The sequence below is a fragment of the Homo sapiens genome, chromosome 7 (assembly GCF_000001405.40).
Source record: "Homo sapiens chromosome 7, GRCh38.p14 Primary Assembly".
NCBI classification, from domain to species: domain Eukaryota; kingdom Metazoa; phylum Chordata; class Mammalia; order Primates; family Hominidae; genus Homo; species Homo sapiens.
The window spans coordinates 44,276,793-44,291,128 of record NC_000007.14 but is presented as its reverse complement, the minus strand read 5'-3'; the positions used below and the strand labels follow the sequence as shown (position 1 = coordinate 44,291,128).

At 58.0% G+C, this 14,336-nt stretch overlaps 1 protein-coding gene across 35 annotated transcripts in view, besides 3 other annotated features; it reads left to right on the top strand.

The window, feature by feature from the left end:
* The window catches only part of CAMK2B (calcium/calmodulin dependent protein kinase II beta), a 108,860-nt gene that overhangs the window by 34,885 nt on the left and 59,639 nt on the right, over nucleotides 1–14,336 (top strand). For all 35 annotated transcript variants that reach the window (XM_011515559.3, NM_172084.3, XM_017012665.2 and 32 more), the window contains exon 2: nucleotides 6,904–6,998. Coding sequence is in view for 34 of the 35 variants with exons in the window: in NM_172084.3 (NP_742081.1) it covers nucleotides 6,904–6,998 (95 nt within the window). In the remaining variant the exon portion in view is untranslated. The remainder of the gene's footprint in view (nucleotides 1–6,903; nucleotides 6,999–14,336) is intronic.
* Nucleotides 682–1,183: an enhancer, noted in NCBI's record as "H3K4me1 hESC enhancer chr7:44329545-44330046 (GRCh37/hg19 assembly coordinates)". NCBI's record gives its function as "activates a minimal SCP1, AML or CMV promoter by ChIP-STARR-seq in naive H9 embryonic stem cells {active_cell/tissue: H9 hESC(naive)}" and the evidence as "EXISTENCE:reporter gene assay evidence [ECO:0000049][PMID:30033119]".
* Nucleotides 1,880–2,522: an enhancer, noted in NCBI's record as "H3K4me1 hESC enhancer chr7:44328206-44328848 (GRCh37/hg19 assembly coordinates)". NCBI's record gives its function as "activates a minimal SCP1, AML or CMV promoter by ChIP-STARR-seq in primed H9 embryonic stem cells {active_cell/tissue: H9 hESC(primed)}" and the evidence as "EXISTENCE:reporter gene assay evidence [ECO:0000049][PMID:30033119]".
* Nucleotides 7,043–7,825: an enhancer, noted in NCBI's record as "H3K4me1 hESC enhancer chr7:44322903-44323685 (GRCh37/hg19 assembly coordinates)". NCBI's record gives its function as "activates a minimal SCP1, AML or CMV promoter by ChIP-STARR-seq in naive H9 embryonic stem cells {active_cell/tissue: H9 hESC(naive)}" and the evidence as "EXISTENCE:reporter gene assay evidence [ECO:0000049][PMID:30033119]".

Genomic DNA, 14,336 nt, shown 5'->3' with positions numbered 1-14,336 from the left:
GCAACTGTCAGATCACACTGTTGAGGCTTCATTAACAGCGCGGGGGACATAGTGAGAGGAGAAAGTGGAAAGTGGCAACAAGAGCCCCCTAATTGTGTAAGAAGACACCTCCTCATGGTGCAGAGCTGCACACTTGCACACATCCAAACATCAATGGGCCCTACTGACCGTGTTGTGGGTTATGGAGGCAACGTCAACGCATTCTGTAGACCCTCTTGTTTACTCCATAGCAAACATTGTAAACGTAACAATAATACAAACATACATTCCATCTACTGTGAACGTGAGTTTTGTTTTTGTATTATCATAAGCAGAAAAATACACAAAAGAAAAAACCCACAACAACCTCAGCACTCTGTTCATATAAAAGTTACTGTTTCCACCAAATTGCTTAGGTCAAGATTAGAATATAAAAGACCTCCCCCTCTGGCACTCCCAAGAGCTCATTTTAATCAAAGTTGGGAACTGTGTTTTTAAGCCAACACACAAATAAATACCAATTTGGTTTAGTTTCACCCACACAAGAAAAACACAAAGGTCCGCATGAGGTCAGCGGACTTGTGCCTGCTGGGGTGTCCCCAGCCCCTAGCCCAGGCCTCCTCATGGAGCCCACCTGGGGCCAGCCAGGCAAGAAAGGACGTAGGTGGCCTGAGGCTGGTTTCAGAACAACCCTTTATTAATTTACAGCAGGAAATAAAGCTGTCGGCCTGAGAGTGCTTCTGTGGCCGGCCCAGACTCTTCCAGAAGGACCTGCTCTGGAGGACCTGAGCGGGGAGGGGGCTGTGCTTGCTACTAGGGAGACAGCGCCTGGCCCGCGTGGGGAGCGTCAGACGCAAAAACTGGATGGGAAATTTCGATTTACAAAACAGGTCAGCCAGGCTTGGATCTTTTGCTTTTACTCAGGGCTCCTCAGCTTCTTTCTAAAATTCTAAAATTTAAGAACTTCCTGGAATTGCGTGTGGCCTTGCTGTGGATTGAAGGGGTCCCATGGCCCTTGGCTGTCACTGTTGTTGGGAATCTGAGGGGGCGTTTCCAGCCTATTCTGCAACATCTGAGTGAGGAGAGTGCACATGTGTGTGTGCGCATGCCTGTGAACTGCAACCGACCGGTGAGGCTCAGGACTGATGCAGGCAGCCCTGGCTGGGGTGGCACAGGCCCCAGCACTTGGGGAGGAAACTGGATGGTGTGGACATGGGCTGCGGGAGGCAGAGAGAGGAACAGGGAGAGAAGCTGCTGCCTCTGAAATTTCCACTAAGGGAACGGAATCCAAGCGTTGAGTGGGCCGACTCAGAGGCCGCTTTGATCCTGCGTGGCCCAGCGCTGCCCTGCGGGAGCTCAGCAGCCTGTCATGGGGATCACATGCACGATCACTCCAGGCGCCTGGGTCCCTGCCTATGCTGTCCTGGGAGCAGAATCACACTGCCGGCTCTTTCTGGATGCCGGATACTGTGTTGTGGCTGGTACCTGTGTCACCTCATTCTGTGTAGGGGGACAATCACTGCCCCCTTACTGATGGAAGTCACCAGCCCTTGTGAGGTGGCTGGGGAGGGCACCTGAGCAAGGTCTGCGTGACCACACGGGATAGGCTGTGGGGACGCAGGGTCCGACCTTCCCTCCCTGGTGTCGTTACCAAGTGTCTTAACTGGCACCCCAAGAGCCGGTAATCTTGGTAACCCCCAGTCTTCACCAGTGAAGGTGAGGCATGAGAGGGCCCTAGAGGGGCTGTTGTGTGGTCCTGCTGGGGGCAAGGCGAAATTTCCTTCCTGCTCTCTGGGCCCTCCCACAAACTCCAGCCATGCTGCTCAGGGACACACCTCCTCCCAGCTCTCCGGGGAGAGGTGCGGGCAGCTGGCGAGGGCCGCAGTGCGACCAGCATGACTTAGTGGAGAGTGGGGCAGGCCACAGAGCCACCTGCGGTGGGGAGCTCCGTGGGGGTTGGTGGGAGCCACGGATAGTCAGCAACTGGTGGCCGGTTGCAAGTGGGGACTGGAGGGAAGAGGCAGGCACGAGGGTTGGGGGGGCAGCTCAGAGCTGGGAAAGCCTGGGCCTGCACCAGCAGTCTGTTGTGGAGCCAGAGGAGCCATAGACTGGATGCGAGGAGGAGACAGAGGCGGATGGGGCATCCTGCAGACAATGACGCTTCCTGCTGCCTCTGCCTGTGAAGCCCCGAGAGCCCACAGGATGCCTGTGAAACACCGACTGCCCTGGGTGGCTGCAGTCAGGGGAGGTACACTCAGCACCTCTCCTCGCAGGTGGCCTTCACCCCATTATCGCGCGAGAAGCCTGAGCCCCCCTGCAATGAAGGAGGTGCCCGAGCAGGTGCAGTCGTAGAAACAGGCCATGTAGTTCCGGGCCTCCATTCCCACCCAGAACTAATTCTTCCCCTTCTCTCTCAGGACAGGTTTCCCTGGTACTGTTGATCCCACTGTAAATGAGACAGGGTTCAGAGCCTTCCACAAAGCAAGGACTCAAAGAGTATTTTCTTGTTTTAATTAGCTTTATTTGATTTTAAAAGCCCCATAATATGCTTGGTGCCCGGGGGCCTCATGATCTGAACAGGTTATTCAAAATCGCTTTCAGCCTGGCTCAGTAGCATTCGTCCCATGCAGGCCATCATGCGGGCAACCTTGATGTCTAGATGCAATTCGCAGCCCACAGGAACAGCGACCTGGGATCCCGTAGGAGCACCTCTTCCGGCTTTTTCCTGCCTTTGCCCCAACCCGCTGTGCCCTTACAGCTGCCTGGGATGGTCCACACCCTAGAGGCAGGCGTGTGATCAGCCTATGCACCTGCAGTGTCATCCAAGGCATTCTTTGCTGAGCCCAAGGACCATGCTGCCGCCTGCTAGGCCCGCCCGTGCTTCCAGATAAGAAGACCGGGCTTCGAGCCTCTGTGCGCTGGTGGAGAGGCGGGGAGCCTAAGCCCCAGGCCTTATTTACTTGGGGTACCCCCTGGCTCTGACCAGGGCCTTGTGGCCTCAGTGTAGCACAGACCCATCTACCCACAGGCCCTGGAAGCCTTGGTGGGTCTCCCCTCCTGCTGGGACACTCTAGGGGCCGCTCTTCCTGTACTGCTGGGCTGGACAAGCCCTGAGGCCCAGCAACTCCATGCTCCACAGCCCACTGTGTTGCTTGTAGGTCAGTTCTGGCTCCTATATCACAGCCCAGGCACTGTGCCTGATACCTAGGTCCAGAGTATAGGGCACTCTGCCCATAGAGAGCCATTGGAAGGGGGAGTGGCAAAAGTGAACAGGTAGATAATTAAGTAAACTAACCTAAGGAACGTGGGAGGTGCAATATCTAAAGACCAAGCTGACTTTCTGTGTGAGCTGGGAAAGCGGGGAGCTGTTTGCATTGGATCTTGAAGGACGCATAGGAGTTTGCCCTTGGCAGCAGGGACAGGCTTATGATACAGATCCAGGCTCTTTGTCGGTGTTGTCTCTCAATGTTTATAAACACTGGCGGGCAAGCACTGAGTCGCAAGGGAGTATGGTGATGGTGCTGGCTTCTTTGCTCTTGGAGAAGTCAGAGATGTTGGGCCCCCAGCCATGGCCTGCATGGCTCATGCTAAACATGTTTGTGGCCACTTCTCAAGAGGGCTGACACTTCCAAGGGGGCTTCCCGTGACAGATTGCCGTCTGGCAAGTGGCAGAACCACCAGGAAGGGGAGGAGACAGAGGTGGATCTGCAGCTGCCAGCCCAAGTTCCCCGGGGAGATGGCAGGATGGGTGCGGGTGGACAGCCATTATGGGGAGGAGCACCTTTCAGGGTGCTCTTTAGGGGAAGTGGTGGGTAAAGCGGGCAAATAACTGGGGTGGGAGACTTAAGCATACATTCCTTAAGTCCCCCAGAGGAGAGAGGAGAGGGAGAAAATTGGGGGGCGGCGATGACATTGGGACTCAGAGAAGGTTTGGGGCTTCAGTGAGGGACAGAAGGCGTGGGAGAGGCAGAGCCCAGGAGCGGGGCGCAGGGAGCAGTGGTGTCCTTGGGAGCCAGCCCTCCTGCGCCTTCCCCCAGCTGGCCACCTTCTCCCTCTGGGGGCATCCAAGTCGCTGGGAAAGGGGACCCTGTCTTCTATTCTTGAGGGTGCCCTCCACCCTACCTGCAGGCCTGTGTCCAAGAGCAGGGCCTTCTTCACCCCCGGGCCCTGCACCCCTGGTCCCTGCACCCCTGGTCCCTTCCTGCTGAGTGTCTGCTGGGTGCCTGGCACTGTGCCTGCCACATCCTATGTCACTACAGCTGTGCGGCCTGGTGCTCCCACTCCACACTCATCCCGAGGCCCCCAGCCATGCCTTCCTCCTTCCTCAGCGGCGCTGCCTGGCCTTGGCCCCCTGGCTCTGGCAGTCTTACCTGTGTTCCCTGCCCCCGCCTTCCCCGATTGCTGACTGCTCCGACCTAGGCTGATGGTGCAGGGGCGGCTCTGGAGCCTTCTGCAGAGGAGAAAGGGGCTGCCTGACCCAGGGAGGGGAGAGGGATCAACTGGAGGAAGCCCTTGTCCCACCCACCTGCGGTCAGGCTCTTGGTGATATGGTGCATGGATGTCGTGTGCTGAGGAACAGCTGTGGCTTGCCGCCCTCTGCTCCGGTACCTGTCTGAGTCTGGCCAGCAGCTGGGAGCCTGCTGTGCTGGTGGGAAGCTGCGCTTGGGTCTCCTCCCTGCTCCGGGGACGGGCTCGACACAGCGGTGCCATACGGGCATCATCAGCTTGGCATAGATGTGCAGTCTGTTGAACTTCCTACTGAGGGTCAACCCTGCAGTGTGTGGTTGCGTTCTGGCGCACGGAGGCCCAGACTCCCTGCTCCCTTCAGGGCCTGGTCCAGAACACTCAGTGGAGGCCTGCCACGTCAGCCCTGTGGCCGCTGAGCCCTCTAGGGGTCAGAGCGTGACAGATGGTAGCTCAGGACTGGTTTCGGGAAGCTCTTACCTCTCCTGAGCAAGAAGTCCGGCAAACAGCCACACAGTGGCCCCGGAAGGCTCTTCTGCTCAGTCATATGGATGGGGAAACTGAGGCTCAGAGAGCTGTGTCACCCCGTCTAACCAGGATTGAAGCCAGACCAGGCAAAAAGCCCATGGTCTTTGCCCTCACCTCAGTCTCCCAAGTTAATGTCATATGTTAAAAATAATAATCCTTTCTTTATATTTTTCTTTAAAAACATTATGAGAACGTAACTGATGCACATGGTGAAAAAATCAAGCAGAGCAAGAGAATGCGGAGTGAACAGTGAACACCTCACCGTGCCCCCCCGCCGCGCCCCCCCGCCGCGCCCCCCACGCCGTGTCCCCCCCACACCGCGCCCCCTCCGCCGCGCCTCCCCCCCGCCGCATCTCCCACCGCTGGGTCTCCCCCCACATCTCCTGAGGCAGCCCCTGTCCCTGTTCACTGGTTGACTTTAAAAAGCGAAGACGCAGCTCAGTGGCCGCCCAAGCACAGTGACTGCTCTTGAGACCTGAGTCGTTAAGAAAATGTTCAATTAGATTTAGTGTAATTATTTATCTTTCCAAGGAATTGAACAGTACTCTTTTACAAAGATTTATCTCCACAAAGGACTGTAGATAAAACGGTGTTCGTATGTAAGACGCTCCTCTTCCACCACGCAGAGCCCTTGGCCTGGACTCCCATGTGGGTTTCTCAGGCTGTCCAGGCCGAAGAAGCTTTCTGGGAGGGGAGGCTGTTCCTGTAGGGGGGAGGCTGGGCACTTTGCAGGTGCAAACACAGGAGGGCCCTGCGTGCTCGGGTTTGCACGGGTGGGTGCCCACCTGGTGGTGGGCTTCCTCCAAGCCCCCCTTTCTCCCAGCCCCAGCCTGAGAGCATCCGCTGGCCCTTTTGTCTGGACTCAGACCCTTCATGTGACATTTCTTGACCAGGCCCCTTGCCTCACGTGTGCTGTTCTTAGAAAATGATCTGAAATCAAATTAAATCAACCGTGGTGACTAGTCAGATTCTGCGGGGCCTCCTGGTGGGCACCGGCCCCCTCCCCTCCTGCCTCATAGACTCTGTGGCTCCCATTGGGTGGCACTGACTCCCTCAGGGCGCCCTGAAGCCAGGGCAGGAGCTCCTCTGCAGGCCAGGCTTTGTGGGGTACGTTCATGGCCTCTTCTCGATGGCCTCAGCAGCCTTAACCCGATTCCTTCCTTGTGTCTCTTGGGCTCTGGACTGTGGTTGATGCTGGTCAGCTCCCTCTGTCCCCCGTCCCTCCTCCCCTCTCCCTACCCCCAGGCTGTCAGTTTGTGAATGTCCCTTCGCCCTTACTCTGGGCCTCCATGGCCTCTGCGTTGACACCTGGACAGTGGAGGCTCTCAGGACCCTCTCCTCCAGCTTTTCAGTTTAAGGATGTGATGTTTCTCTCTCCCTACAAAACCTTCCATGAGTCCCCATGTCTGACTGCACAAATCCCAATATAACTGCCCTCTGGAGCTGGGCCTTCCAGACAAGGCCAGCTTTATTTGCCTCTGGGGAAGACTCAGCAGGGCCTCATGGACGTGGTACAGAGCCCCCGAGGATGCCTGCTGAGAGGCCTGTGGACATGGACTCTTGGTCCAGCCGACCCACAAGGATACAGGCCTGTAGGTCACACAGGAGCTGAACGGGGCCCCTCCGCCACCCTCCCGAGGGCCTGACTGATCCTTCTTCTCTGCACAGCCCCCCAGGGCGTGCCATCTGCCAGGGCTCTGCCAGCCGTCGGGAAGCCGGCCTCTGTTCTGCTGGTGTTGAGTGGGGCCAGCTGAGAGTGGCTTGTGAGGGGCACCCACTTCCTCACAGTTTCTGACTCACAGCCATCTGCCCGAGGCCGGGCCGGTGGCTGAATGCTTAATGGGGAGTGTTTATGGGGAGATTAATCGGCTCTCTCTCTTTCTCCTTGTCTGTCTCTGTCTCTGTCTCTCGCTCCCCCATTTTCCTCCCCAGGGGGGCTTTCTCTGTGGTCCGACGCTGTGTCAAGCTCTGCACCGGCCATGAGTATGCAGCCAAGATCATCAACACCAAGAAGCTGTCAGCCAGAGGTAGGGCATGGGGAGTGTCCTGCGCAGCTGCTGTCAGGCTGGGGCAGGGGCTTTGGAGGCCGTGCCCTGTGGACTGGGCAGCAGGCCCCTCCCAGTCTTGGCCAGCACTTGGCCCACCCTGCCTGTGGCTCCATGCACAGATGCAGTGGGGTTCCTGGAGTGGAGGCTGTGGCAGAGGGAGGCACAGGAGTGTTGGGGACTTGAGGGCACCTCTGGCCTGGTGGGGCCCAGGCTGGTGGGGGTGCCAAGGGACCCTCAGACCCTTGGATGCACCTTTGTGCTCTGGTTAGGTTGTTCTCAGGGCCCACTTTCACCTCCCCATCCCGTGTATGGGGGTCTCTGCCCCCAGAGCTGGAGGGGAAGAGGTTCAAGGTGGCCAGGCCGCCATGGTGGTTGGGTGGTGTCATCTGCCCTGAGAGCCGTGGGCCAGATGAGAGCTCAGTGACAAAGTTTCAGGTGACCGGGCAGTGCTGCGGTTGGCCATCTGCCTTCTGACAGCAGAGTCCTGGCGTCATGGCCTACTGGGAGGTGACCTGGCAGTTTCCTAACTAACAGAGCCCAAGTCTTCTACATAGTGGCAGGGCACTCCGCCTGTCCTGGGAGGGCTTCTCAGACGTGCAGGGTGTGTGCGAGGAAGGGCCTTGAGTGGTGCTGGCCCCAAGTGGCCCTCAGCATGTGGATATGCCCCATCACGGGCCTCCAGAGCCCTGCTGGCAATGATCAGCTCTGGGCACTGCAGGCAGTGATGGAGCAGACAGGCTCCTGCCCTCACGGGGTCTCCCTGCCCTCACGGGGTCTCCCTGCCCTTGTGGGGTCTCCCTGTCCTTGTGCTGTCCTTGTCCTGTGGGGCAGGTCGAGGACAAACAAAACCCAAAATCAGCACACAGCAAATCTGATGATGATGGGCAGAGGCCTCCCGGGGCAGCTGCTGTGGTTGGAGCACAGATCTGAGGAGGTGGTGGGGAGGGACTATGGCAGGGGTCCTGCTGGAGCCCCAAGGTGGGGTGTGCCAGAGCGCCAGGTGGGGCTGTGGAGGTGGGTGCAGGAAGGGTGGGCTGCCTCACTGAGGTGGCAGCCCCATGTCACTGCCCCGTATGGTGGGGTTCCATGGAGGAGGGGCTGGCCGGATGATGCCCTGGTAGAGGGAGCCAAGCGAAGCCCCTGTCTGCCTCTCTGAGCCCCTCCCCTCCCAGGGCACCACCAGCAGCCTTGATTAGCATCCAGGCACAAATCTGAGCTAATTGGGAGCTGGAGAGGCCCTGACCCATCTGGCCAGGCTGCCAGATGCTGAGGGCCTAATGTGGGCAGAGACGGGCCTCCTCTGGGTTGGTGGGAGAGCTGCCTACTGTCTGTGGCCTGCAGTTTACAGTGATCCAGCCACCTGTGGGGGCGGGCCTGTGCCATTTGTGGAGCGATGTGTCGGCGTTGTTTGAGCGACTGCTGTGTATTAGGCCATCAGTGTTTCCCCTTCTTGGGAGCATTCCCTGACACCAGGCTGTGGGGAGGTCCTTTAGGCTGCAGTGGGACCTGCTCCTGTCCCAGCCCTTGTCTGCCTCCTCGTCACTGAGCCACGAAGGGGCTTGGCGGTGCCCAGGGCTGGGTCAGTCCCCATGTGTGTGTCCCAGCCCACGAGGGGCCATGGGAGGGTGACACTGCAGAGGGTTCAGCAGGGACACTGAGGAGTGGGCTGGGGCAGCTCCAGAGGCATGCGCTCCCAACCATTCTCCACACATTGCGGGGGCCTGGGTGTCCCTTCTGCCCTGTGACTGCACAGCTGGAAGTGGGCCGCCTGCTGGTCAGCTCTTTTGGCCCCCTGGGGCCCAGCCCGTGGTGGGGTGGGTGGGCCAGGCTGTGTTCCAGGACCTAGGGCAGTCAGCTTGTTTTTTCTTGATCAAGACAGAGAACTGGTCATAAGTGGGCGGTGCTCAGTTGTGCCTGTGGCCAGTTCCTGTGGGTCTCTGGGTGACATCCCTGAGGCCTGGACACTCCCTGCCTGTCACAGGGTGCCATGGAGAGGAGGTCTATGTGTGCGTGAGCGTACCTGTGCATGTTCACACACGTGTCTACGTGCACATGCATGTGTAGGTGCATGTGTGGAGCATGGTAGAGCCTCTGGAATGGGACTGTCTGGCCCTCCGGCAGTTAGGCTGGGACCAGCCCAGGATGAGCTGGGAGAATGAGAGGTCCTTCTGGTTCCTGCTTGGGAAGATGCTTCAGGTTCCCAAGGGGCCTGGAGTGAGGCAGGTGGGGGTCCTGGAGGTGGCCCCTGGCCGGGAGAGCAGTGGGCAGAGCTGAAGGCCACTTGCTCCAAGGGTCAGCTTCGATGAGCTCTGGGGTGTTTGGACAAGCAGGTGGGAGGAGGAGGGAGTGGCCTCTGTAACCAGGATTTCAGTCCAGACTCAGGAGGGATGTCCAGTAAGGCTCCAGAGACTGAGCCGTGTGGTTGAGAGCCTGAGTGTGTCATTATGGGTGTGACCAAGGGTGATTGGGGTGCTGGGGGGCAGATGTCGCCGGGAGCAGAGGGCAGGAAGCTGCTGATGCCGAGAGGCCTGGCCAGGGTCCTGGGGTGTCTGCTGAGTGCACAGACCCTGAGTGGGCTGCCATACCGGGACCACAGGATCCGAGCTGCCTCTGCTGTCCTGCAAAGCTGTGCCGCTGGGAGTCGTGGGTCAGTGTGGTCATCTGCGGTGGCCAGATTTTCTCCGTGACCACCCAGGGACTGCTGCTGGCTTGAGCCCAGGCACGGGGATGATCAAGTGTGGGCCACAGCCTGCTGTCCTCCTGGCCCCAGGGAGCAGCTCATATGTCCCGTGGCTGCCCCATCATGGATGAAGACCCACAAGTGTCTGGTGGCCCCGCTGGACCCTGAGTCCTGGCACTGCCCAGTGCAGCCTTTCTCTAGCAGGCTTGAAACTGAGACCTGAAGAGATGCCAGGCCCAGCTCAGGTCCCACGGCCACCCTGCGATGACAGCAGTCATGTTAAAGCCAGCGCCTCCCGCGTGGTTGCTGTGTGCACGGCTTGGTGAGCCCAGGAGGCTTCTGTGTTCCCTGACGTTCTGTGGCTGGCACTGGTGGAGGCACTAGAGTGAAATGTTCTGGGGGTGGGGGGAGTATCACCCAGCACAAAGGTGGGGTCCCTAAGCCAGGAAGAGCAGGAACCTCAAACACTTCATGTTGGAGCCTTCCAGGCACCCCCTTCCCCTCATCCCTCTCCTGGTTTTATGCTCATCCCTGCCTCGTTTCTCTGTTGTTTTGCCACATGGGCGTTTCACCTGCTTGTGTCTGAGCCTGAAAGTGGAGTTGCGCTGCCGCTGTGACCTGTCTTGTGCTCGGGTGATGTTCTGGGGTGTGTCTGTGGGATGGATCCCTTCCCACTGCTGTGTGATGTTCTGTTGAACGAAGGCTGCTACTTTTCTGGCTGTAGCTAATTCCTGATGACGTTGGCAGAGCCACTGAGACCCCACACTCAGGAGAAGCTCCGTGACATGTGTCAGTGAATTGAGTTTGGCAAAAATGTTGCTTGCTGGTCAACTTGGTGTTTTAAAAGCCTGTGCAAATTTATTAGCTTAGGAAACCAGAATCCATAGCTGGCTGTCTCCCTCCTGCTTTTCCATCTGTCCGTGAAGGTCAGCAGCCACCCCCACCCACCTCGGGCCCTTCCTTATCAGGGGCCTCCAAAGCCTTGTCCACCTAGACCCACAGCTCTGACATGCACTTCCCAGGGCCATACGTGTGAGGTAGCACCACCTCGTGCCCTGTGGCCTGGTGACATATGTGTGTAGTGTGGCCCCTCTCTCCACAGATTGAGACCCGTGGGGCCTTCCCTCCCTCCTGGATACCAGGCCCACACCTGTGGGCCCATGCAGGGCAGCACAGTGCTGCCAGCCTCTCCTTTGGGATCACTTTGTCTCTGCCTGCTTCTCCTCGGCCAGGGACCATGGGGCATGTCAGACCCAGGGCTTCCTGGCCCCTCTGCACATTCTGTCTCGTTCCTCAATTGTGCGAGACCTCGGGAGGAGGAGAGAGGAACCCCTTTAGACACACCCTAGACATAGACTCTCACTCATGTAACAGGTTTACACGGAGGACACAGAGATGAGCAGATACACCCTGAAACCAGCAGCTACGACGCTGTGTGCTGGGTGGGGCCTGGGAGAGGCAGTCCTGAGGCAGTCCTAAAAGTGGAGTTGCGCTGCCACTGACCTGTCTTGTGCTCGTTCACTCCAAAAGTTGTGTTGCATGGGCGTTGAGGGATGAGTAGGAGTTTGTTAGGGTCAAGCAGAAAACTACCCGAGTATGTTTTTGTGGAATTACATAGCTCCTCTAAATTAACCTCACAACCCCTATTTATATTCTCAAAGTGCTCTATGAGTCAGAAGGATTTAGGGTAGTGGGAATCTGAGTGAGAGGATGGCTGCGCCCTGGAGACCCTGCTGACCACACAAGCTGCAGAGCTGAGCTGCTTTGTGTTGCCCTGTGGCTCATCACAGGCCTTGCTCCCAGGTGCTTGTGCCTCTCAAGCTGTATGCCTAGCCTGTTTACTCATTCGATGCAAGCTGGGTAGGGTGGTGGGAGGAAGGGGTAGCCAGCCAGGGGGCTGCCTGGCATTCTCAGCAGCCAGCTCCCTGCTGTGACCTTCCCGCAGGATGCCTCTCTGGGCAGGGGCAGGGATACCCAGCCGTGTGTGGCTCCAGAGGGCAGGCCGACCCCTTTCTGCTTTGCCTCGAGTTGTACACAGGCCCTCCGCCCAGGGCTGCACAGCCTCACCCTGCCATTTTCTTGGGCATTTTTTTCCTATTTAACTTTTTATGGTGGAAAATTTCAAACACTCCCAAATACAGAGAAAATGATAGAACGAACCCAGCTTCAACAGTTATCAATTCTTAGCCAGTCTTGTTCCATCTGGGCCCCAGACCCTGGGATGTTTACCATTCAGTGCATAAATATCTCAGCATGCATCCCTAGCAGAAAAGGGTTCCAAAAACAGCCACAGGAGCTTTATCATTCTGAAAAATGGACAGTAATTCCTTGATACCATCTCATATGCAGCCTGTGTTTGTGTTTCTAATGATTCAGAGGTTTCCTCAGAATTGAACCTTTGGGTCACACGGCCCTGCACAATTGGGTTGTCTGCCCTTGGTGCTTGAGTCCTGCTCCTGGGTAGCATCCCTGAGGTGTGCAGTTCACACCCCGGGGGCCCCGCTGTAGCCACACAGCATAGATCACAGTGGAGCCTCAGAACTCTTGATGAGGGAGCTGGCCCTACCACCCCGGCTTTGAGGGAACCTCATCCCCTTGGAGTTGAAATCTGGGTCTCCAGAAAATGACCCAGACAGAGCTGGCCTTGCCCAGATGCTGTGGGTGTTGCTTTGGTGTCCCCTCTCCTGCCCCCAGCCTGCCTCTTGGGGTGGGCGGTGACAGCGCTGGACGGTCTGCTGAGACCGTAGAGGAAGGATGCTTGGCACTTCCTCCTGGCCCTCTTCTGCAGGCAGAATCCTGCACTCACCACCCATCTCAGTCTGGGTGCTCTGTCCTGTGGCCTCTGCTGCCCTGGGCTGCCTCCCCCATGCGGGGACCTGAGGTTCCCCAACCCTCCCAGGCCCTTTGGGCTTTCCTAGCTGAGGAGGAATGGGGGAGGTGAGGGATGGGGTCTTGGATGGAGCCCCAGAGCTTCACTGTGGGACACGCACCTCCAGGTGAATGTCCTGCTTCAACCCTGACTGCCCAGCTGTCTGACCGTGGCCAGGTTACTCAGTCATCCTAGACCTCAGTTTCCCCAGCTGTAAAGTATCTACCTCACAGGGATGTTGCAAAGCTCTGAGACCATCCCTCTCCACATCGCTGCCTCCCTTCCTGGCCAGACCCTCTGCGTCCTGCTGCGGAGGACCCCTCGTGAATACCCAGTAGCTTTCTGGTGTCGTCTGGCCCACCCAACCTGCAGGCCCCAGGGCCCCCTCCTCCATGAAGCTGTCCTGGATCGTCCCACGGGCAGCCTGCCACCCTGCCTGGAACTCCCCAGGCCCCATGGCAGGCGCCCCTGGCTGTTTCTCAACTGACCATGTGCTCCTTGAGGGCAGATGCAGCTGGTTCATCTGATGGCCTCCTGGCTCCCAGCCCAGAGCCTGTGAAAACGTGGGAGAGCATAACACCCTTCCTAACCAGGGGCTGGGCCCAGGCTCTGCCTGGGTGTCTGGCTCTCTCCTTCCCATCGTGGTGGGGCAGGGGCTTCCCCAAAATGGCCTTCCCCACTGCTATTCAGGGAGGTAGAGGATGGAGAGGGGACCCAGAGAGCAATGGCCTTCCCCCCTGCTATTCAGGGAGGTGGGGGATGGAGAGGGGACCCAGAGAGCAATGGCCTTCCCCCCTGCTATTCAGGGAGGTGGGGGATGGGGAGGGGACCCAGAGAGCAAGGGTTGGTGGGGGAGAAGGATTCTGGGCCCTTGGGCCTTGTGGGGGAGGCTCCAGCAGCCTCCCCGGCTGCATTTCACCCCTGATTTGGGTCTAGCGCCAGTGGAGGGGCCTCGCTCACTCCTTGAGAGTCACTAGGAGTGCTGTGTCCCCACACTCACTCATGTCCGGGCCCGAGCAGGGCGGCCTTGGTCCTTCAAGGCTCCTGGTGATGAGAAGCGGCTGGTAGCATGCAGCTCCAGGAAGGAGGATGCCACTCCAGAAACACTCAGGCCCCCACTTACCGAAATACTCGGCCACGCGGACACTGCAGAACTGCACCAGCTGGTGCCAAAGCTGTAACAGTTCGATTTTTTAATATTTAATACTTAATTAAATGGAGGATTGTGAGACATTCAAAGTTGGTGAATGTACTGAATAATGAGAGATTATTAAACTACTGTTAACAAAAGCAGTTAGAGGAAATTAATTGACGGGGGTAAAGAGATCATTAGGCACACAAGTCTTAAAACATGTCTTGTTGTTATCTACCCCCTACCCCAACCCCCCGCCCGCTTGCCCAGCCCCTGCTGCTCATTGTCCACAATGAACGGCTGTTCTTTTGGGGACAGTTTTGTTGTGCCTTGTTGGACGCCCTGTGTAGAGGGAAGCGTGCGTAGGAAGCAGTGCAGCGGGGTGACCCTGGTTAGCGGCCCATGCTGTGGAGAGCCTGGTGCAGGGTCCGTGCCCTGGAATGGCCCTTCAGCTCAGGGTGGAGCTCCTGGCATCATCGACGCTGTCTCATGTCCTCCCACCCTCTGAGCTGAGCGTGGGCTCCCCTTTCACATGGGGGGAAAGCTGAGTCCCGAAGAAGCTGAGAGGTGGACGGGGTCCCCTAGCTGGTGGTTAGCAGAGCCGGGATGTGGAGGACTCTAGATTTCACCCAGCTG